Source organism: Homo sapiens, chromosome 8 (genome assembly GCF_000001405.40).
Source record: "Homo sapiens chromosome 8, GRCh38.p14 Primary Assembly".
NCBI lineage: Eukaryota > Metazoa > Chordata > Mammalia > Primates > Hominidae > Homo > Homo sapiens.
The window spans coordinates 94,547,401-94,571,300 of record NC_000008.11 but is presented as its reverse complement, the minus strand read 5'-3'; the positions used below and the strand labels follow the sequence as shown (position 1 = coordinate 94,571,300).

At 41.4% G+C, this 23,900-nt stretch overlaps 1 protein-coding gene, 1 long non-coding RNA gene and 1 pseudogene across 9 annotated transcripts in view, besides 1 other annotated feature; 1 reads left to right on the top strand and 2 right to left on the bottom strand.

The window, feature by feature from the left end:
* Nucleotides 1-650: 650 nt before the first annotated feature.
* Nucleotides 651-17,588, bottom strand: VIRMA-DT (VIRMA divergent transcript). Of its 6 annotated transcripts, none has more exons than NR_183270.1 (3): nt 17,394-17,588; nt 16,040-16,134; nt 651-3,158 (listed from the first exon to the last, which is right to left on the bottom strand). It is a non-coding gene; the product is annotated as a VIRMA divergent transcript (long non-coding RNA). The 6 variants fall into 6 exon arrangements; NR_183267.1 differs by lacking the exon at nt 16,040-16,134 and having other exon boundaries at nt 651-1,191; nt 2,766-3,252; NR_183266.1 differs by lacking the exon at nt 16,040-16,134 and having other exon boundaries at nt 651-1,191; nt 2,766-3,158.
* On the bottom strand, nt 5,611-6,292 carry LOC100286997 (ribosomal protein L31 pseudogene; annotated as a pseudogene).
* Nucleotides 17,519-18,138: an enhancer, noted in NCBI's record as "active region_27632". NCBI's record gives its function as "activates an Ori minimal core promoter by ATAC-STARR-seq in GM12878 lymphoblastoid cells {active_cell/tissue: GM12878}" and the evidence as "EXISTENCE:reporter gene assay evidence [ECO:0000049][PMID:35858748]".
* The window catches only part of VIRMA (vir like m6A methyltransferase associated), a 65,781-nt gene continuing 59,712 nt past the window's right edge, over nt 17,832-23,900 (top strand). For 2 of the 3 annotated variants that reach the window (NM_015496.5, NM_183009.3), the window contains exon 1: nt 17,832-17,916. In NM_015496.5, the coding sequence (NP_056311.2) occupies nt 17,854-17,916 (63 nt within the window). In that variant the 5' untranslated portion in view covers nt 17,832-17,853. Of the gene's footprint in view, nt 17,917-23,095; nt 23,151-23,900 lie in introns of all 3 variants that reach the window. The other variant, XM_047421677.1, reaches the window with a different exon arrangement.

Sequence of the window (23,900 nt, the reverse complement as noted above, 5' to 3'; positions counted from 1 at the left end):
GTGAAACCCCGTCTCTACTAAAAATACAAAAAATTAGCTGGGCGTGGTGGCGGGCTCCTGTAGTCCCAGCTACTCCGGAGGCTGAGGCAGGAGAATGGCGTCAACCCGGGAGGCGGAGCTTGCAGTGAGCCGAGATCGCGCCACTGCACTCCAGCCTGGGTGACAGAGCGAGATTCCGTCTCAAAACAAACAAACAAACAAACAATAACCCTTTGAATCTGAAGACCAAAATTAAAGCAAAATAAAACACTCAAGGATTCCAAACACTTATGAAGTTTCTAAATGCACACTCTTAAACTCTGTACTTAAGCTGGGCATGAGTTGGTTAAATCTGTATTTTGTTTGTATTTTTTTAGAGACAAGGTCTCACTCTGTTGCCCAGGCTGTAGTGCAGTGGTGTGATCATGGCTCATAGCAGCCTTGAACTCTTGGGCTCAAGTGATCCTCCCTCCTCAGCCTCCGGAGTAGTTGGGACCACAGGTGCACACCACTGTGCCTGGCGAATTTTTAAATTATTATTATTATTTTTTTAATAGAGACAGGGCCTTGCTATGTTGCCATGGCTAGTCTCAAACTCCTGGCCTCAAGGGATCCTCCTGCCTGGGCCCCTCAAGGTGCTGGGATTACAGACATGAGCCACTGTGCCTGGCTATCTTTCTGGTATTTGTATTTTATTTCTGCAACACTATTGTTAGTTCATTTAAGATCATTATCATATTTCATTTGGTTGAAATGTCCCACTGAACCCATAGAAACACTTTCTAAGTAGTTGTTTCAATTTAGAATGGTTTGATTGCAAGAAACAGACTTGAGGTTTACAACAAGGAACATTAATCTCAAACAAGATTGGTAACATGGTTGAGCCTCCCTCAGTGAACCTGCTTCTGGACTCGGGGCAGCTTTGTGATCTCAGCATAGGTGATCATCAACAGTCATTCTTGTCTAGTCCTTTGTCATTAATTTGGCTCAGCTCCATTCCATGTATCTATATCCTCTGTCCTACTACCAGCTGGTAATTTCACTCGAGCCTCTCATTGTTCAGTCAGGTCACACGTCAGAAGTTGCTGGCCAATTGAGAGCTCCCTCCCCACCTTGCGCCAGGTGACTATTCTTGGCCAAATTAGCTGGAGATGGGAGACTAGGTGAAGTCCACTGCACAACCTGCAGAAGATTTACATAGGAGTAGACTCCCTGATGCAGGAGGGAAAGTGGATCCAGAGAGAGAGAGAGAGAGAAAGAGGGAGAGAGAAGAAGAGACAGAGAGCCCAATTAATACTTGCTCATCAAGTAACATAAAGTTCTTATGTAAAAGCAACTTTTTAGACAGCTCACTTCATGCTACCGGCCATCTTTAAATCTACCTAACCTTTGTATTTATGCTTAAAATTTTTGTTTTTATTTATTTATTTTTTTTTGAGACGGAGTCTCGCTGTCGCCCAGGGCGCGATCTCGGCTCACTGCAGGCTCCGCCCCCCGGGTTCACGCCATTCTCCTGCCTCAGCCTCCCGAGTAGCTGGGACTACAGGCGCCCGCCACCTCGCCCGGCTAATTTTTTGTATTTTTTTTTAGTAGAGACGGGGTTTCACCGTGTTAGCCAGGATGGTCTCTATCTCCTGACCTCGTGATTCGCCCGCCTCGGCCCCTCAAAGTGCCGGGATTACAGTCACGGCGCCCGGCCAAAAAAATTTTTTTAAAGAAAGAATAATCCAGCCAGGTGTAGTGGCTCATGCCTGTAATCCCAAAGTTTTGGGAGGCTGCGGTGGGAGGATCGCTTAAGCCCAGGAGTTCAAGACCAGCCTGGGGAACATAATGAGACCCCTGTCTTTACACACACACACACACACACACACACACACACACTAGCCAGATGTGGTGGTATGTGCCTGTAGTCCTAGTTATTAGGGAGGCTGAGATGGGAGGATTACTTGAGACTAGGAATTCAAGGTTACGGTGAGCTATGATTGTGCCTCTGCACTCCAACCTGAGCAACAGAATGAGACCCTGTCTCTCTCTTAAAAAAAGAAGAAACAAACAAACAAAAAATTCATAAGGCTTATGTCACTAGTTTTCAAGAGCATAGAAATAAAGTGAAGAGCAAGTTTAGATTAAGCTACAATTGCTTGTAATTAAGACCTAAAAAGTTACAGAAGTTTCTTTTCTGTGTACTTCTCAAGAGTTTATTGATTTATTATTTTAGAGGTGGGGTCTCACTCTGTGGCCCAGACTGGAAAAGGTTTATATTATGCCCCGACATGCATGGTTAAGCTCTAAGAGGCAGATAGGGTTTGCAGCATTTCCCAAATGATTTTTGATCACAGAAACCTTTTTTTCTGTGGAGCTTCTTGAGGGAACATGCTTTGAGTCAGTCTAGATCTGCTGAATATGGTACAGCAATTACATAAAGAGAAAAGGCCATGTGTAAGGCGTATGGTCTGCATACTGTGGGCTTGGTACTGGGTGGTGGAACTGAACCACAGAGCTTTGCCTGTCTTTGAAATAGATAGGATCCCAGAAAGGTGTGTTCATGGCTTTCTGAAAAAACATTTGGAAAATAGCTGGGGTCATTCAGTCTTTCAGGGCAGCTGGCACTAATGGGTATGCTTATTTTGAGATATGTCTGTATATAATAGTTTACAGTCTGTGTTTCTTGAATCTGTAGCTAATCTCTGGACTACATACTGAAGAATGATGTGGAAGTGTCACAGCAAACCCTTGGCCATAGAAAATTATAATCAAGTCTCATAGAAAAAGGTGGCAGCTGTTACTTTTGATTGGTGCCCTCAGAAAGGCAGGCAAATGAAGGCCCATTGTGTTCCTGATGCTGGATGAATGTCTTGCAGCTGGCAGTCTGCTAGACTCCCAAATCAGTTGTTCTTTTCCAAGAGAACTGTTGATGTACTTGGTCTCAGGAGAAGTTAAAATGCTTGGCAGTTCACTCAGACCTTCTTCTTGCTCTGTGTACTTGTGTAAATGTCAGTCACCTTGAAAGGGAGCTCATCTGTTATCAACATTGGAATTGTGGGCTGGTTACATTTCTTCTACCACCTTTGTCTTTTTTGTCAAGTTGCTCCTGGCAAGTATTCGGATTTTTATAAATTGCTTTTCACATTGAAGATAAATTTTGTTTTTCTTCAAATTGCTCTTTTCACTGTCAGGTGCTGGAAATCAAAGAAGGAAAGATACAGTAGCTGGTAAAATAGCAGTAGCTACTATGGGCTGGTTACAGAGCACTGTCCTGGGATACTTTATAATCTGATGAGCAAGAGAGGCAAAAATGAAAGAACAAAAACAGAAAAGTACAATATAAGCATTTGACATATAAATGATGTGCAATATATAATTCTATATGGGATCTGAAATAGGACAAAATAAATTAATTTGTTCAATAAGTATTTTTAGTGTTTAGTATGTGCCATGTACTAGGGATGTATTAATGAACGAGATACAATCACTACATGGGAAGCAGCTCAGAGGTTAGAAGAGGGACACTGACCTCTTCTGGCCACAAACAAGTTGGGTACTAAAGCTTAAGCTGTGGAATATACTCTGAAGTCACAAATGAGAGAACATCAAATCTACTGAGGGATAGGAGGAGCCATTGGGGGGAAGTAGGTATGTATATGCCATATTTGGTTTATGCATTTATTTGCTGATGGATATTTGAGTTGTTTGTACATTTTTGGCCATTGTAAATAGTGCTGCTATGAACATGCACATATAAGTATTTGTTTAAATACCTATTTTCAGGCCGGCACAGTGGCTCAAACCTGTAATCCCAGCACTTTGGAAGTCCATGTCAGGAGGACTGCTTGAGATTAGGAGTTAGAGACAAGCTTGAGCAACATAGTGAGACCCCCGCCACACAAACACCCACTCTAAACAATTTAAAAAATTAGCAAGACATAGTGGCATGTGCCTGTAGTCCCAGCTACTCAAGAGGCTTAGGCGGGAGGACGGCCTGAGCCCAGAAGTTCAAGGCTGCAGTGAACTATGATCATAACACTGAACCCCAGCCTGGGCAACAGAGCAAGATCCTGCCTCATTTAATAAATAAATAAATAAATACCCATTTTCAAATATTTTAGTATATACCTAGCAGTGGGACTTGGGGTTATATGGTAATTCTATGCTTAACTTTTTGAGGAACCATCACACTGCTTTCCACAGTGGCTGCACCATTTTACATTCCCACCAGCAATGTACAAGAGTTTCAATTTCTCCATGTCCTTGCTAACACTTGTTATATAAAAAAAATTCTAGCCATCCTAATGGATATGAAGTGGTATCTCACTGTGGTTTTTTTGTTTTGTTTTGTTTTTCTTTTTTTGAGACAGAGGCTCGCTCTGTTGCCAAGGCTGGAGTACAGAGGTGTGATCTCGGCTCACTGCAACCTCCATTTCTCAGGTTGAAGTGATTCTCCTGCCTCAGCCTCCTGAGTAGCTGGGAATACAGGCATGCACCATCAAACCCCGCTAATTTTTGTATTTTTAGTAGAGATAGGGTTTCACCATGTTGGCCAGGCTGTTCTCGAACTCCTGACCTCAAGTGATCCACCTGCCTCAGCCTCCCTAAGTGCTGGAATTACAGGTATGAGCCACCTCACCCAGGCTCATTGTGGTTTTGATTTGCCTTTCCCTAATGACTAAAGATACTGAACATCTTTTCATGTGCTTCTTGGTCATTTGTACACCCTCTTTGGAAAATGTCTGTTCAAGTCCTTTGCCCATTTTAAAATTGGGGGGTTTGTCTTTTTGTTGTTGAGTTGTAAGAGTTCTTTCTATATTCTACGGAGTAGATCCTAATCAGATATATAATTTGTAAATACTTTCATTCTGTAGGTTGTTGTCTTAGTTTGTTTGTGCTGCTATAACAGAATATCTAAGAATGATTCATTTATAACAAACAGAAATTTATTGGCTCACAGTTTCAGAGCTCAGAAGTCCAAGATCAAGGCACTAACATCTGGTGAGGGCCTTCTTTCCGCATCATCATGTGGTGGAAGGCCACCAAGCCCGGCTAATTTTTTTGTATTTTTAGTAGAGACAGGGTTTCACCATGTGTTAGCCAGGATGGTCTCAATCTTCTGACCTCGTGATCCGCCCGCCTCAGCCTCCCAAAGTGCTGGGATTACAGGTGTGAGCCACCGTGCCCGGCCTTACCTCATCTATTTTTTGACAAGCTAATGACCTCGTTGAGACAGAAGCCATCAGAAAGGAACTCCCTCATTTTCCACATAGTATATCCTCATCTGCATTTGTACCCATGGACTCTTTCTTCCCCTGGTTACCAGAGAGTAGGTGTTCCTTTTAGCAAAGGTCACTATTTGGTCACCAGGTACCACCTCTACCTATTAAATACTTTGCTGTCTCAGATGTCCCCTCTGTCTCTTCATCATCATGGTTACTCTCCTCATTACTTTATTCCCATAATTCTACACATTCTGTTATCCCTCATCTTAAAAACACTATTTCTTGACCTGACAGGCTCCTCCAACAACCATCACATTTCTTTGTTCTATGCAACAAAAGTTTGTGGTATTTTTTGCAATTTTATAACTTTATTTGATGTGTTTGATGATCAGCAGTTAGTTCTCATCCATACTGACTGTAGATTTTTGAAAGTGGTAATGTGTACATAGGTAACCAAAGTATAGAGCTCATTTGGTGAATCTTCATCTTCATTACGTTCCTGGAAACTGCACATGGATACGGTATGGGACATTACTTATACTTATTCCTTTGGCCCAGACAGCTTTGTTGAGCCTGGTATCAACGCGCACATCTGGAGTTCCCATCTCCTTCACGGCAAATTTCTGGATCTCTTTGAGTGCTTGAGGGGCATGCTTCTTTTTTTCTGAGATGGAGTCTTGGTCTGTCACCTAGGCTGGAGTGCAGTGGCACTATCTCAGCTCACTGCAACCTCCACCTCCGGGGTTCAAGCGATTCTCCTGCTTCAGCCTCCCGAGTAGCTGGGATGACAGGCGCCCAGCACCACGCCCGGCTAATTTTTGTATTTTTAGTAGAGATGGGTTTTCACCATGTTGGCCAGGCTGGTCTTGAAATCCTGACCTTGTGATCCGCCTGCCTTGGCCTCCCAAAGTGTTGGGATTACAGGCATAAGCCACCACGCTCGGCCGAGGGGCACACTTCTTGAAGTCCACTCCATGGATGTGTTTGTGAATGCTGATGGTGTATTCTCGGGTCACCACCTCATTGATGGCAGAACTGCCCTTTTTCTTTTTGCCACCCTTCTTTGCAGGAGCCATCCTGCCAGGCCCAAATTGGAAAGGAAGCCAACAAAAGTTTTTTGAAAGAGTTATTTATACAACTTTTCTCTACTCCTCGGTTCTTATTTATCTGTAAAAATTCTATTTTTTGCCAGGCACGGCGGCTCACGCCTGTAATCCCAGGACTTTGGGAGGCCGAGGTGGGTGGATCACGAGGTCAGGAGATTGAGACCATCCTGGCTAACACGGTGAAACCTCGTCTCCATTAAAAACACAAAAAATTAGCTGGGCATGGTGGCGGGTGCCTGTAATCCCAGCTATTCGGGAGGCTGAGGCAAGAGAATGGTGTGAACCCAGGAGGCAGAGCTTGCAGTGAGCTGAGATCGTGTCACTGCACTCCAACCTGGGCAACAGAGCGAGACTTTGTCTCAAAAAAAAAAAAATTCTATTTTTATTTATGCTTTTGGAGACAGGGTCTTGCTCTGAAACCCAGGCTGGAGTGCAGTGGTATGTTCTTGGCACACTGCAGCCTTGACCTCCTGGGTGCAAGCAATCCTCCCACCTCAGCCTCCTGAGTAGCTGGAACCACAAGTATGCACCACCAAGCCTGGCTAATTTTTGTATTTTTTGTGGAGATGAGGGTTTCACCATGTTGTCCAGCTCAAGCAATCCTTCTGCCTTGGCATCCCAAAGCATTGAGATTACAGGTGTGAGCCACCACACCTGGCCTATTATTATTATTATTTTTTGAGATAGGATCTCACTCTGTTACGCAGACTGAGTGCAGTGGCATGATCATGACTCACTGCAGCCTCGATTTAGGTTCATGTGATCCTCCCATCTTAGCCTACTGAGTAGCTGGGGCTTCAGGCACATGCCACTGTGGGCAACTAATTTTTTATTTTTTGTAGAGATGGGGTCTTGCTATGTTGCCCAGGCTGGTCTCAAGCTCCTGGATACAAGTGATACTCCTGTCTTGGCCTCCCAAAGAGCTGGGATTACAGGCATAAGCCACTGTGCCTGGCAAACATTCTATTTTTTTTTTTTTTTTTTTTGAGACAGAGTCTTGCTGTGTCGCCCAGGCTGGAGTGCAATGGTGTGATCTCGGCTCACTGCAATCTTTGTCTCCCAGGTTCAAGCGATTCTCCTGCCTCAGCCTCCTGAGTAGCTGGGATTACAGGCACCTGCCACCACACCCAGCTAATTTTTGTACTTTTAGTAGAGACGAGATTTCACCATGTTGGCCAGGATGGTTATTTTTAATAGGTAATATACATACATGGGAATAGATTCCCTTCTCTCTCTGTACACTAGCCATCAAACTCCCCTTCCTGGAGGCAACAAGTATTATCAGTTTCTTACATAATGCTTTCATAGGTAGCCTATAAATTCAAGCATACATTAGTATTTTTGCATAAAAAATAGCATGCTATGCACGTTATTCTTAACTCTTTTTTTGGTCTAATTCTCCCTTCAGTTTTATCAGTTTTTGCTTCAAGTTTTTTGAAGTTCTGCTATTAGATATATAAAGATTTAGGCTTGTCACAAATTCCTGATGAATTGACCCCTGTATCATTATGACATAATGTTAATTATCCTTGGTAATATTCTTTGCTCTGAAATCTATTTTGATATTAATGTAGTCACTCAGCTTTCTTTTGATTAGTGTTGGCATGGTATACATTTTTCCAATATTTTATTTTTAACTCATTAACTCATTTGTGTCTTTATATTTAAAGTGCATTTCCTGTAGATAGCATATAGTTGGGCCTTATTTTTATTTTTGTATTTTTTTTGGAGATGGGGTCTCATTCTGTCAGCCAGGCTGGAGTGCAGTGGCATGATCTTGGCTCACTGCAACCTCCGCCTTCTGGATTCAAGTGATTCTCCAGCCTCAGCCTCCTAGGTAGCCAGGACCAAAGGTGCACACCACCACATCAGGCTAATTATTTATATTATTTGTAGAGAAAAGGTCTTGCTATGTTGCCAAGGCTGGTCTTGCACTCCTGGGCTCAAGCAATCCTCTTGCCTCGGTCCTCCAAAGTGCTGGGATTACAGACATGAGCCACCATTCCTGATGGTTCTTACCTTTTTAAAAATTAATAGGTTTTACTTTTTAGAGCAGTTTCTTTTTCTTAGAGACAAGGTCTTGCTTGGATGGATAAACTATGTTATATCTAGACAGTTTTATTCAGCAATAAAAACAAATGAGCTATCAAGCCATGAAAATACATGGAGGAAACTCAGATGCATATTACTTAGGGAAAAAAGCTGGTCTGAAATGGGTCCATACTGTATGATTCTAATTATATTACATTCTGAAAAAGGCAAACTATATAAACAGTAAAAAAGATCAGTGGTTGTGAGGACAGAGGGAGAGATAAAAAGGTGGAGCACAAGGAATTTTTAGGACAGTGAAACTATTCTGTATTAGACCGTAAGGGCAGATAAATGGCATTATATATTTGTCGAAACTATACAACACTAAAAGTAAATCCTAATGTAAACTATGGACTTCATTTAATAATAATGTATCACTACTGGTTCATCAATTGTAGTAAAAGTACCAAGCTACTGCAAGACAATAATAGAGGAATCTTTAAATGGGGAAAGAGAGAGTATATGGGAACTCTCTGTACTATCTGCTCAATTTTTTATACAGTAAAACTGTCAGAAGTGTTTAAACCAAAGAGATTCCATCTTGTATATAGGCTGGGTGAAACGAGGCTGAGACCCACTGGGCTGCATTCCCAGACGGTTAGGGATTCTAAGTCACAGGATAAGATAGGAGGTCAGCACAAGATACAGATCATAAAGACCTTGCTGATAAAACGGGTTGCAGTAAAGAAGCCGGCTAAAACCCACCAATACCAAGATGGTGACAAGAGTGACTTCTGGTTGTCCTCACTGCTATACTCCCACCAGCACCATGACAGTTTATAAATGTCATGGCAACGTCAGGAAGTTGCCCTATATGGTGTAAAAAGGGGAGGCAAGAATAATCCACCCCTTGTTTAGTGTATAATCAAGAAATAAACATTAAAATGGGCAACCAGCAGCCCTTGCGGCTGATCTGTCTATGGAGTAGTCATTCTTTTATTTCTCTACTTTCTTAATAAACTTGCTTTCACTTCTATCTATGGACTCATCCTGAATTATTTCTTGCAAGAGATCCAAGAACCCTCTCTTGGGGTCTAGATCGGGACCACTTTCTGGTAACAAAACTGCTCTAAACTTAGTCTATTAATTTTAAATAGCTAACTCACACTACTTTTGGGTCACAAAGGATATCAGGAAGACCAAGGAAGATGGCAGATAGGAGACAGGGCTGATGTGCAGCTCCCCCTTGGATGGACAGAACAGCGTGTGAAGACTCACACCATGGACACTTGCTCCAGGAACCACTGCAGAAGTGAACCAGGAAGACCAAAAGAAATCACAGATCCTTTGAAAGAAGTGGCAGGCCGCTGCCAATTCTTCAAGACTGGTGAAAAACTGTGAGTTCCCAAAGTGTGAGAGGTAGAAAACCTGCATCTGGACACACATCCCCACTGGGGAATCCAAAAATCCAGATTATGGAAGAGGGATTTAACCGTACCTAGAGCTGAAACAGATTTAGCGTGAAATATAAAAGTAGAAGCAGCAGTGGGAAGAGCCAAGTAGGCACTGCCATTCTCCAGTTCAAGCCCAGGGAAGACAACCCCGACTATATCTCATAGGGGCCCTCAGGGAAAGTAGCTGGTAGAATTCGGGAGGGGTCACAGGGTGAAAGAAACTTCTAAATGAACTCTGTAATAATTTTGACTGGGCATGAACTCTCTTGAGCAGAATCCAGGGGCAAACGAAAACTGCTGCAGATAGGAGAGCAGGAGTTATGGTGGAGAGTGTGGGCAGGTGGGGTGAGGCATGGCTTGAAAGCCATATTTGCTTTCTCAGTGGGGAAACTTACAGCCTGGGGCTAGGTCTGACTCTTGCCTGAAGGTTGCCTGGAGATAAAGTTGGTGCTGTTAGCAGGGCCACAGTAGAAATGAGACTGGCCCCGTCAACTGCGTGGGAGCTGGGTGAGGCCTATCACTACTGGTTTTCTCCCACTTCCCTGGCAACAGAGACAGCCATAATCCCCTCTGGAACATAACCCCATTGGCCCTATTCTATTCATCTAGCATGATGAATAAACAGTACCTCACCTCTCAGTACTAATGTTGAATGTAAATAGCCTAAATGCCCCACTTAAAAGATACAGAATGGTAGAATGGATAAAAATTCACCAACCAAGTATCTGCTATCTTCAAGAGACTCATCCAACACATAAGGAATCACATAAACTTAAGGTAAAGGGGTGGAAAAAGACATTCCATGCAAATGGAAACCAAAAACAAGCAGGAGTAGCTATTCTCATATCAGACAAACAAGATTTTAAAGCAACAACAGTTAAAAAGAAGACAAAGAGGGACATTATGTAATGATAAAATGATTAGTCCAACAGGAAAATATCATAATCCTAAATATATATGCACCTAACATTGGAGCTCCCAAATTCATAAAACAATTACGACTAGACCTAAGAAATGAGACAGACAGCAACACAATAATAGTGGGGGACTTCAATACTCCACTGATAACACTAGACAGGTCATGAAGACAGAAAGTCAACAAAGAAACAATGGACTTAAACTATACCCTAGAACAAATAAGATTTAACAGATATTTACAGAACATTCTATCCAACAACTTCAGAATATATATTCTTTTCATCGGTACATAGAACATTGTCCAAGAGAGACCATATGATAGGCCACAGGACAAGTTTCAATAAATTTAAGAAAATTGAAATTATATTAGTACCCTCACAGACCACAGTGAAATAAAATTGGAAATTAACTCCAAAAGGAACCCTTAAAACTATACAAATACGTGGAAATTAAATAATCTGCTCCTGAATGGTCTGTGGGTCAACAGTGAAATCAAGATGGAAATTAAAAAATTATTTGAATGATAATAGTGATGCAACTTATCAAAAACTCTGGGACACAGCAAAAGTCGTGCTAAGAGGAGAAAGTTCATAGCATTGAATGCCTACATCAAAAAGTGTGAAAGAGTACAAATAGAAATCTAAGGTCACACCTCAAATAACTACAGAAACAAGAACAAACCAAACTCAAACCCAGCAGAAGAAAAGAAATAACAAAGATCAGAGCCAAATTAAATAAGATTGAAACAAATAAATATAAAAGATAAATGAAACAAAAAGCTGGTTCTTTCAAAAGAGATAGACAGTTAGTGAGATTAACCAAGAAGACAGAAGATCCACATAAGTTCAATTAGAAATGAAACAGGAAGTATTACAACTAATACCACAGAAATACAAAAGATCATTCAAGGCTACTATGAACATCTTTACACACACAAACTAGAAAATCTAGAAGAGGTGGATACATTCCTGCATATACAGCCCTCCTGGATTAAATAAAAAAGAAACAGAAATTCTGAACAGACCAGTAACAAGTAGTGAGATTAAAACAGTAATTTAAAAATTGCCAATGGAAAAAAAGTCCAGGACCATGTGGATTCACAGCTGAATTCTATCAGACATTCAAAGAAGAGCTGGTACCAATCCTATTGAAACTATTCCAAAAAATAGAGAAAGAGGGAATCCTCCCTGAATCATTCTATGAAGCTAGTATCACCCTTATACCAAAACCTGGAAAGGATATAACAAAAAAAGAAAACTACAGACCAATATCCCTGGTGAACACAGATGCAAAAATCCTCAACAAAATACTAGCTAACCAAATCCAACAGCATATCAGAAAGATAATCCACCACAATCAAGTTGGGTTTCATATCAGGGATGCAGGGATAGTTTACCATATGCAAGTCAATAAAATGTGATACATCATACAAACAGTATTAAAAACAAAAATCATTATTATCTCAATAGATGCAGAAAAAGCACCTGACAAAATCCAGCCTCCATTTATGATTAGAACCCTCAGCAAAATCATTATAGATGGGACATACCTCAAGGTAATAAAAGCCATCTATGACAAACCCACAGCCAACATTACACTGAATGGGGAAAAGTTGAAAGCATTCCCACAGCAAAGTGGAACAAGATAAGGATGCCCACTTTCACCGCTTCTATGCAACATAGTACTGGAAGTCCTAGCCAGAGCAATCAGACGAGAAAGAAATAAAGGGCATTTAAATCAGTAAAGAGAAAGTCAAACTGTTGCTGTTCGCTGATGATATGACAGTATACCTAGAAAACCCTAAAGACTCATCCAAAAAGCTCCTAGATCTGACAGGATACACAATCAATGTACACAAATCAGTAGCACTGCTTTACATCAACAATGACCAAGCTGAGAATCAAATCAAGAACTCAACCTCTTTTACAGCATCTGCAAAAAAAATAAAATAAAATACTTAGAAATACACCTAACCAAGGAGGTGAAAGATCTCTACAAGGAAAACTACAAAACACTGCTGAAAGAAATAATAGATGACACAAACAAATGGAAACACATCCCACACTCATGGATGGGAAGAATTTTATTTTATTTATTTAATTAATTAATTAATTTTTTGAGGCGTCTTACTCCGTCACCCAGGCTGGAGTGCAATGGCACAATCTCAGCTCACTGCAACCTCTGCTTCCTGGGTTCAAGCAATTTTCCTGCCTCAGCCTCTCAAGTAGCTGGGACTACAGGCACATGCCACTACACCTGGCTAATTTTTGTATTTTTAGTAGAGCTAGGGTTTTGCCATGTTGGCCAGGCTAGTCTTGAACTCCTGACCTCAAGTGATCTGCTCGCCTCAGCCTTCCAAAGTGCTGGGATTACAGGCATATGCCACAGCGCCCGGGCCGGAATTTTGATATAGGAGTTAAAGAGAAATTATTTAGGCAGATAGTGAGGGTGAGGAAGTTCTCAGTAAGGTTTTCCTTTTAATGAAAAGCAGCCCCCAAATCATCTTGTTTCTAACAAAGAGCAGCCTGTAAAATGGAGCTGCACACATGTACAAGCAAGCTGGAAGCTTGCATGGGTGAATGCCAGCAGTTGTGCCAATAGGAAAAGGCCACCTGGGACTAGGCATGTTCAAAATGGTGGCTCCATCTTCCCTTTTCTTTTCCAACCGTGTGTGCAGTAGGGAGCAGACAACATGGTACTGACCAAGTGGAAAGCCTATTTGCATAATAAGATTAGGGTAGGGCAGCCAGCTTCCTCGCACACTATGTAAACATCACACCCGGTCCAACCAATCTGTGGGCCCTATGTAAATCAGACACTGCCTCCTCAAGCCTGTCTATAAAATCTGGTGCACTCCCCCGTGGGCTAGAATTCCCATTAGGGAGCTGCCCCCATGTCTGTCTGTCTGTCTGTCTCTCTCCCTCTCTCTCCCTCCCCCCCTTCAAGAGAGGGAGCTGTTCTCCTTTCTCTTTCTTGTGCTATTAAACCTCACTTCATGTGTGTGTCCACATCCTCGATTCCCTTGGTGTGAGACAACAAGCCTTGGGTATTACCCCAGACAATGATGCTGCTTCAGAATCAATATTGTGAAAATGACAATACTGACAAAAGCAATCTATAAATTCAATGCAATTTGCATTCAAATACCATCATCATTCTTCAAAGAACTTGAAAAAAAAATCCTAAAATTCATATGAAACAAAAAAAGACCCCAGATAGCCAAAGCAAGACTAAGCAAAAAGAACAAATCTGGAGGCAACACACCCTCTGAATTCAAACTATACCACAAGGCTATAGTTACCAAAACAGCATGGTACTGGTATAAAAGTAGGCATGTAGATCAGTGCAACATAATAGAGAACCCAGAAATAAAGCCAAATATTTACAGCCAACTGATCTTTGACAAAGCATACAAAAACATAAAGTGGGGAAAGGACACCCTATTCAACAAATGGTGCTGGGATGATTCGCAAGCCACATGTAGAAGAAGGAAACTGGATCCCCATCTGTGCCTGATACAAAAATCAACTCACAATGGATCAAAGACTTAAATCTGAGACCTGAAACTAAAAATTCTAGACGATAACATAGGAAAAATTCTTGTACACACTGGCTTAGGCAAAGAGTTCATGACCAATAATCCAAAAGCAAATACAACAAAAACAAAGGTAAATAGATGGGACCTAATTAAATTAAAAAGCTTCTGCACAGCAAAAGAAATAATCAGCAGAGTAAACAGACAATCCATTGAGTGGGAGAAAAATCTTCACAAACTACGTATCCAACAAAGGGCTAATATCCAGAATCTACAAATAACTCAAACAAATCAGCAAGAAAAAAATAAATTATCCCATCAAAAAGTGGGCAAAGGACATGAATAGACAATTCTTAAAAGAAAATATACAAATTCACCGGACACAGTGGCTCACGCCTATAATCCCAGCACTTTGGGAGGCCGAGGCGAGCATTGTCTGAGGCCAGGAGTTCAAGACTAGCCTGGCTAACATGGTGAAACCCCATCTCTACTAAAAATACAAAAATTAGCTGGGGGTGGTGGTGCACGCCTGCAGTCCCAGCTACTCAGGAGGCTGAGGCAGGAAAATTGCTTCAACCAGGGAGGCAGAGGGTGCAGTCAGCCAAGATCGAGTCATTGCACTCCAGCCTGCGCAACAGAGCAAGACTCCGTCTCAAAAACCAAAACAAAACAACAACAACAAATATATATATATATATATATAAATTGCCAATAAAGAAATGAAAAAATGCTCAACATCATTAATTATCAGGGAAATGCCAATCAAAACCACAATGAGATACCACCTTACTCCTGCAAGAATGGCCATAATTAAAAAATAAAAAAAAACAGATGTTGGCATGGATGTGGTGAAAGGGGAACACTTTTACACTGCTGGTGGGAATGTAAACCAGTACAACCACTATGGAAAACAGTATGTAGATTCCTTAAAGAACTAATAGTAGAACTACCATTTGATCCAATAATCCCACTACTGGGTATCTACTCAAAGGAAAAGAAGTCATTATATGAAAAAGACACTTGCACACACGTTTATAGCAGCACAGCTCACAGTTGCCAAAATACAGAACCAGCCTAAATGCCCATCGACCAACGAGTGGATAAAGAAAATGTGGTGTATATACATATATATACATATGGGAATACTACATATATATATATATATATATATATATATATATATATATATATATATATGGGAATATATATGGGAATACTACTAACTCAACCACAAAAAGGAACAAAATAATGGCATTTGCAGCAACCTGGATGGAGCTGGAGACCATCATTCTAAGTGAAGCAACTCAGGAATGGAAAACAAAACATGGCATGTTCTCACTATTAAGCAGGAGCTAAGCTATGAGGATGCAAACTCCTAAGAATTATATAATGGACTTTGGGGACTGGCGGCGGGGAAGGGTGGGCGAGGGAGTGAGGGATAAAAGACTACATACACATTGGATACAGTATACACTGCTCAGGTGATGGGTGCACCAAAACCTCAGAGATCACCACTAAAGAACTTTTCCATGCAACCAAACATCACCTGTTCCCTCAAAACTGTTGAAATAAAAATAAAAATGTAAAAAAAAAAAGGATATCAATGCTAAGAAAATCAGACTGTAAAAATGACAACTATAAAAGCACTATATAGTACATTGGTTAAGGGAGAGCTTAGGGGAAAATTTATATAAATACATATAGTAATAAATAAGAAATATGAATAAAAATAAACATCAGTGGTAGAAATTAGAGAACAGCATATAAGCCTAAACACAGAAGAAGGGGGGGGGCACGGTGGCTCACGCCTATAATCACAGCACTTTGGGAGGCTGAGGCAGGAGGATTGCTTGAAGCCAAGAGTTTGAGACCAGGCTGGGCAACGAAGCAAGACCCTGTTTCTAAAAAAAAAAAGAGGCAAGAATCAGAAAACAGAAAAATATTAAAAGCAATAAATATCAATGCAAGAACAAATAATAAAAGATAAACTATAGCTAGCTAATAGAGGAAACTGGATGGCTGAGGAAGGATGTGGAGAGGAGATTTACTTTAGAAATTCATTTATTATTAAATATTTCAGACATACCAGAAGGTACAAACAATAATATAAGGCATGCTTGTGAAATTAACATTAACCTAAATAACAAAACATTACCAAGGCATGTGAAGCCTTTCTGTTCTTCTCCATTACATCTCCTTCCAGTTTACCACTATCTTGAAATTTTAGTTACTCCAATACATGACTTTATAATTTCATGACATATGTACACTCCTAAAATTTTATATTCTTTTGCACGTTTTTAAATATATAGATGTTATTTTACACTATATATTTTTTATTTCCTTTTCTAAGAGATGGGTGTCCCCACTGGCCTCCAACTCCTGGGCTTAAGAGATTCTCCTGTCTCAGCTTCCCGAGAAGTTGGGACCACAGGAACACGCCACCGCACCCGGCTTGCGATGAGAGGAGTTAAACTTGTTTTGTTTTGGTTTGTGTCTTTTTTTTTTCTTTTTGTGAATAACGGGGTCTCGCTATATTGCCCAGGCAGTTCTCCAACTCCTGGGCTCAAGCGATCCTCCCGCTTCATCCTCCCTAAGTGCTGGATTACAGGCGTGAGCCAAAGCGCCCACCAACCCTGTTTTTTGGGTTTTTCATGCTAGTAAACATAGCACTGGTTCATTCTTCGTACCTGCTATATACTATTATATAAATACGCCACTATTTACTTATTACTTCTGTCAATGGCACTTATGTTTCCTGCTCTTTTGCAACTTATAAAGTTTGCTATGAATATTCTTGTATTTGTAGATACGTGGGCGAGAATTTTCCTAGAAGAGTGGTAGGCACGTGTAATTTTACAAGCTATTTCCTAGTTGCTCTGCTAAGGGTTTGTGCCATTTAGACTACCAAACCCGCTGAGTTTATCTCGTTGCTCCAAAGCTCATCAACACCCGACAGAGAGGCTTACTTTTCATTCTGCCTCCTGTTTTATTGTTCATGGTACTTCACGTTACACAATTCCTCGAATTTTATTTCAATTACTCCTCACAATCACCCTGTAGGTTAGGTACGATTTTTCACATTTTACAGATAAGAAAACAAAGAATCTCTTCGTTGGTTGAAACAACAGTTTTTCTTCTATTTAAATCAATGTCTTACTTTTCAACCTCGCTCACTGTTATCTTTTTGCTCCCAGCGCTGGAAAAAGTGGGACATCCCCTTCGGTGGGTGTACGGGGTTGGTATCCAAAGTTGGCAGCTTTCCCTCCCCCTCCTCCATCCACCGTCTCCAAAACCCCGTCTCCGCACTTCGCCACCCGGAGACCGCTGTAGCTCTGTAACGCGGAGGAACGACAGGGTTTGAACCACTGGAGACCCCGTAGTCCCCATCTCACTTCCCTCTGCCCCCCCTCTGCGTTCTAGGGGGCGCCCTCCGCCGCGCTGGAAAAGGCGGGGCCGGCAACTCCGGGCAACAAGATGCGTTGGGATAGGCCGAGGTTTGCGGCGCTAGTGCTCTGGTCACCGGAAGTCCCTCTGTTTCTCCCTCTCCTGAGTCGCTGTCGCGGAGGCTGGAGCGCTGCCCCGGAAGTCCTCCCCCCTGTTCCCCGCCCGCGGCAAACATGGCGGTGGACTCGGCGATGGAGCTGTTATTTTTAGATACTTTTAAACACCCGAGCGCTGAGGTAAGGCTTGGCGACTTGATTCTGACGCTGCTTCTTGACTTGGGATCTTTACAAAAAAACCGTTAGGCGTTCTCCACTTTTCCTTCTGCAGATTGCTTCTTTAATTTCTCGCTTACACACAGACACCCTCCCCCGAGCTGTGTGAGCATCGCGTCTGAGGGAGGGCTGCAGCAGCCCCTTCATTTCCTTGCTTTAACTTGGGCCCTCCGTGTCTTTGGTCGAGTTGGCTTTTCTGCTTGCATGGCTTTATTTTTTATTTTTCCTGTCAGGTTTGGGCCTTGAGAAGGATCAGGGTTCTCAGGTTTACCTCAGATGGCGTTTGGGAGGGGTCTTGGTTTGCCAGTAGTGTTTGACAGTAGTGCCGGAGTCTGAGCAGTTTACGTTGGCTTCGTGGTTTCCGAATCACGATGTTTCTAAATCCTTTCTCTTTGGCCTCTTTTCTGTCGGGAATTATGTTCCCCAGTTGTGACACTTACTTGGTTTAGGATTACGGTGCTCTCCGATTTGGCCTGAAACTTTAATACTTGTCTCTCGGAGAGATTTCACACATTAGGAATGAGATGCATTCACGGAGAATACTTGCGAAGAGGGGAGAGTTGAGAGAATTATAGTTAAACTCATCAGCAGACATCTCCTTTGAGGTTGGAGGTGGAATGTTGTGGAGTAATATTTCTGTACAAAACTACTTGAGCGCCCCTTAATGTACAATTGGCCCTGCAATATGTAGATTAAACATAGCTGGTTAACTAAAGATTCCTGAAAGCAGACCAAAAATGAACTTGAATGAAGTCTACGGAGAAATTGTTAAAAAAAAAAACGAACTTCACATTTTTCTGTCTTAATGTAAGCTTAATTTAGAGAACTGTTCTTTCTTTGGAGATTATTTTTTTCCTTTTATTTTTATCAAGTGTGCTCTTGTATCAAGCTTTTTGAGGACAGATATAATTTCTCTTTTTCTCAGCTGTATCTCCAGTGCCTAGGACAGTATTAGCAAAATGTAGGTGCTCAATAAATATTTGAATGGAAAATGTTTAAAATGTTCTTTCTTTTATGAGATAGTAATGATAGTGGGTAGTGATTGTATCATAATGCTTTACTTGGCAAAATAAAAAGTTGACAGCTGTGATCTAATTTAACGAATGGTTTATAGGTTTGTAAAAGTCAAAAGTTGGAGAACTTTGAGTTAGCATTTCTTACTGACAGTTAATTTATGGTCTGACATTTAATGTGGGTCAGTTAGCACTGTTTGTTCAATGACTATATCTAACATTCTAGCCGAGATTTAGAAAACCCTCAATGGAGGCAGTAGTTGGATCAGAACAAACTTATGGTGTATAGAAATAGAGAACAGTTAAAACTGAAAGAGCCTGGCGCAGTGGCTCATGCCTGTAATCTCAACGTTTTGGGAGGCGGAAGCAGAAGGATTGCTTGAGTCCAGGAGTTTGAGACCATCCTAGGCAACACAGTGCAACCCCTGTCTCTACAAAAGAAAATTAACTAGTTGTGGTGGTTTGATCTTGTTGCCCCAGCTACTCGGGAGGCTGAAGTGGAAGGATCATTTGATCCTGGGAGTTCAAGGCTGCAGTGAGCTAAGATCACACCACTGTGCTCCAGCCTGAGCAACAGAGTGAGACCCTGTCTCGAAAGGAAGAAAGAGAAAAAGGAAAAAGAGAAAGAGGCATGTGATGAATTAGTTTAGTACTATTCTAGTTTAGGAAAATTGGCCTTCATTAGTTTATCATGTATTTCTATTCTTTTATTCATTCTTAGGTAAACATTGAATACCTTGAGAGCATAGGGCAGATGGTAAATGCTTTCTTCTGGGGTGATTGGGGAAGGCTTAGCAGAGATCACATTTAAATCAAGTCTTGAAGGAGGAAGTAGGGGTTTGTGGGTGATACGAAATATTGAAATGTTTGTTTTCAAGAAGTTATAACTCAGTATTGGAGATTAGATTCACAAAATTGTGATTTGAGTTAGAATGTGATGATCACATAAAGAAGCACAGTGTGAATTCGTTGGGGTTTATCATCTTAGTTTACAAAATGCCCATCAGTATCTGACGTATTAGAACTAGCTCCCTTTGTGGGTATAAATAAAAGATACAAGATTTCAGAAGAGGCAGAGATAACTTTTCATTTGAGTGTATCAGGAAAGACTTCATCAAGGTGTTTGGCTTATGAACTTGGTCTTTGGTGAAAGGGGCAATATTTCACAGTTGTAGTTAGGAAAGGAGGGCATTCTACTGGGGTAGTCAGTCGTCTGTTAGGGTATGCTTGAAGTAGCAGTGTGAAGTGGCACCCAAGGCAATTCAAAGACAGATCATGGAGCTCCTTGAATGCTCGACAAAGAATTACAGACTTTAGGCCAGGCGCAGTGGCTCACGCCTGTAATCCCGGCACTTTGGTGAGGCTGAGGTGGGTGGATTGCCTGACGTCAGGAGTTCGACACCAGCCTGGGTAACACAGTGAAACCCCGTCTCTACTAAAATACAAAAAATTAGCTGGGCGTGGCGGTGTGCGTCTATAGTCCCAGCTACTCGGAAGGCTGAGGCAGGAGAATTGCTAGCACCCGGGAGGAGGAGGTTGCTGTGAGCCAAGATCACGCCACTGCACTCCAGCCTGTGCGACAGAGCAAGACTCTGTCTTTTAAAATAAATAAATACATAAATAAATAAAAATTATGGACTTTATTTTGTAGGAAATGGGTAGTTTTTGAGCAGGCGAATCATACAATTAGTAAGATACATTAGATAGATTACTTGATCAATAATACTTAAAATGGTTCAGAGAAGGCCAGGCGCCGTGGCTCATGCCTGTAATCCCAGCACTTTGGGAGGCCGAGGCAAGCGGATCACGAGGTCAGGAGATCGAGACCATCCTGGCTAACATGGTGAAACCCTGTCTCTACTAAAAATACAAACAAATAGCCGAGCGTGGTGGCAGGTGCCTGTAGTCCCAGCTACTCAGGAGGCTGAGGCCGGAGAATGGCGTGAACCCGGGAGGCAGAGCTTGCAGTGAGCCGAGATTGTGCCACTGCACTCCAGCCTGGGTGACAGAGCGAGACTCCGTCTCAAAAAGAAAAAAAAAAAAAATGGTTCAGAGAAAATAGAGGTGAGGTGACAAAATCAGAGAGAAAAAGTGAGATGTTATGAAAACCTGAGTTAGCCAATGGGCAGTAAGCATTGTTTAACATTTATTGAATGCTTAATTTGTGCCAGACACAGTGGGCTTTGATAACTTAAGTAAATCATCTCTGGTCCTTCCATCAGTTTTTTTTTTTTTTTTTAAGACTAGGTCTTGCTCTGTCACCCAAGCTGGAGTGCACTGGTGCGATCACAGCTCACTGCAATTTCTCCCACCAGGGCTCAATCGATCCTTCCATCTCAGCCTCCCGAGTAGCTGGGACTACAGTTGTGCACCAACACGCCTGGCTGATTTTCATATTTTTTTGTAGAGACGGTGTTTTGCCATGTTTCCCAGGCTGGTCTTGAATTCCTGAGCTCAAGCGATTCTCCCACCTCAGCCTCCCAAAGTGCGAAGATTACAGGCGTGAGCCACTGCAGGGCCCACGCTGAGTTTTCAAAGGTAGTCATCTACATTTTATAGATAAGGAAACTGAGCCTGAGAGATGAGGTGACTTTCCTAAAATAGCATAGCTAGATTAAGATCCACCATCATACATTTTTCTGGCTCTAAGGCAGTGCTATGCTGTGTCCCAGTGGAACTACGTAGGAGAGGATTTATACAAGTTTTGGATATGTACAAATTTCGAGTATAGAATTGACAGGATGGCAACTGATTATGTGAAGGAGATAGGGTAGTTAAAAATGGTAAAATTCTAGTTTTAGAGACAGGAGAACTAGTGGGACTAATGATGGTAAGAGTGTGGAAGTGAGTTTGATGGGAACGGGATAATTAGCCAGATTAATTTGCCCCATAGGAAGTTGAGAATCTGTTTAACAATTATTTATGAAAAACACTTTTGAAGGTGAGGGTATGGCTTTAGGAGGGGCAATACAAGTCAGAACAAAGCCCATTGCCCTTGATTTCAAAGGAATTTGTAATATGGTAGAGAAGAGACATTTATTAGTTTCACACAGGGAATCTTTATTGCCAGCTGCCATTAACAGCTCTTTTTTTGGTATTGTATTTGTTTTACCAATAATTTCCTCTTCTCCACATAAACAATTGATACACATTTATAAGGCCAATCCACTGAGTTCAGAAGATAAGCAGTTAAACTTATTAAAAGACAATTTGATTGTGAGGGAATAGTGTTCCCGTGAATGAAAAAACACTTAACATTACAAATCAAGAATGCAAGATAAGCCAGGTGTGGTGGCATGTGTGCCTGTAGCCCCAGCCTGGGAGGCTGAAGTGGGAGGATCACTTGAGCCCAGGAGTTGGGAGGACAGCCTGGGCAACATAGCAAACGCGGTGGCTCATGCCTGTAATACCAGCACTTTGGGAGGCTGAGGCAGGGGGATCACGAGGTCAGGAGATTGAGACCATCCTGGCTAACCTGGTGAAACCCTGTCTCTACTAAAAATACAAAAAAAATTAGCCAGGCGTGATGGTATGCGCCTGTAGTCCCAGCTACTCAGGAGGCTGAGGTAGGAGAATGGCGTGAACCTGGGAGGTGGGACTTGCAGTGAGGCTAGATCGTGCCACTGCACTCCAGCCTGGGCGACAGAGCGAGACTCTGTCTCAAAATAAATAAATAAATAATAAAAAAATATAAAAAAGCACACTATATCTCTAATGTTAACATATACAATATTAGAAAAAGTTGTTTAAGTTAAAATCAGATTTAAGCAAGGTTATTTGGTAAACAAGTATATGAGTGGAAAGCTATTGTATTTGTATATTCCTGTTGATGAGTGAATTAATTTCCTTTCTGTATCTCTCCCTATTGTAATCAGCTTTTACTTTGTATTTTACACTGTAATTAACAGCTGTCTTTATATTAATATTTTTCCAAATCCTCTAGTGAATATTATGCTTAAATGTATACACCCGTTGCCCACGTTAATATTACAATACTGTAATACTGTTTTGTGGTTTCGTTTTTCACCTAACAATGTGTTGTACATCTTTGTGAATCAAGAAGTAATACACCTATATAATATTTCAAAAGTAAGCTTATTTTTTTAAATTTTCTTTTTTTTTTTGACTAGGTAATACATGTATGAGGTACAAATACAAAAGGTACAAAAGAGTATGTGGTAAAAAGTAAGTCTCATCACTGTCCCCTAACCATCTTGTTTCTCTCCTTAGATATTCTATATAATATCCTTTTTTATTGGCTGTGTAATATTCTTTAAGTGGTAATGCTATATATATTTTTTGAAACAGGGTCTTGCTCTGTTGCCCAGGTTGGAGTGCAGTGGTGTGCTTATGGCTTACTACAACTTTGACCTGGGCGATCCTCCTGCCTCAGCCTCCTGAGTAGCTAGGACTATAGGTGCACACCACCATGCCCGTCTAGTTTTTAAAGTTTTTTTTTTTTTTTTGGTAGAGATGGAGTCTTGCCGTGTTGCCAGGCTGGTCTCGTACTCTTGGCCTCAGGTGATCTGTCTGTCTTGGCCTCCCAAAGTGCTACGATATTAATGCTATTATTTATATACTAAATTCTCATACATTTAGGTTTCTGACTTTACAGTGGTGTGTAATATTCTTGAAGCTAAATTGTTTTACACATTTTTAGTTATTTTTTTAATAGTACTTTCCAGTGTGGAAGTGCTGGGTTAAAATACAGTCCTAGGAGACTAGGTCGATACTGGAAAATCCTGTATTTTAGAGGTCATTTAAAAATTACTTCAGGAAACCAATTAGGAACTCATCTGCAGAAGTGAAAAAGGAAGTGGTAGCAGTAGATGTGATAGCTAAAGGAGAGGGTAGAAAGAGAAGATAATTGCAGGGATAGAAGAATAAGGAAGGGAAACAGTTATGCTGTGACCTTTAAACATGCAGGTAAATGAC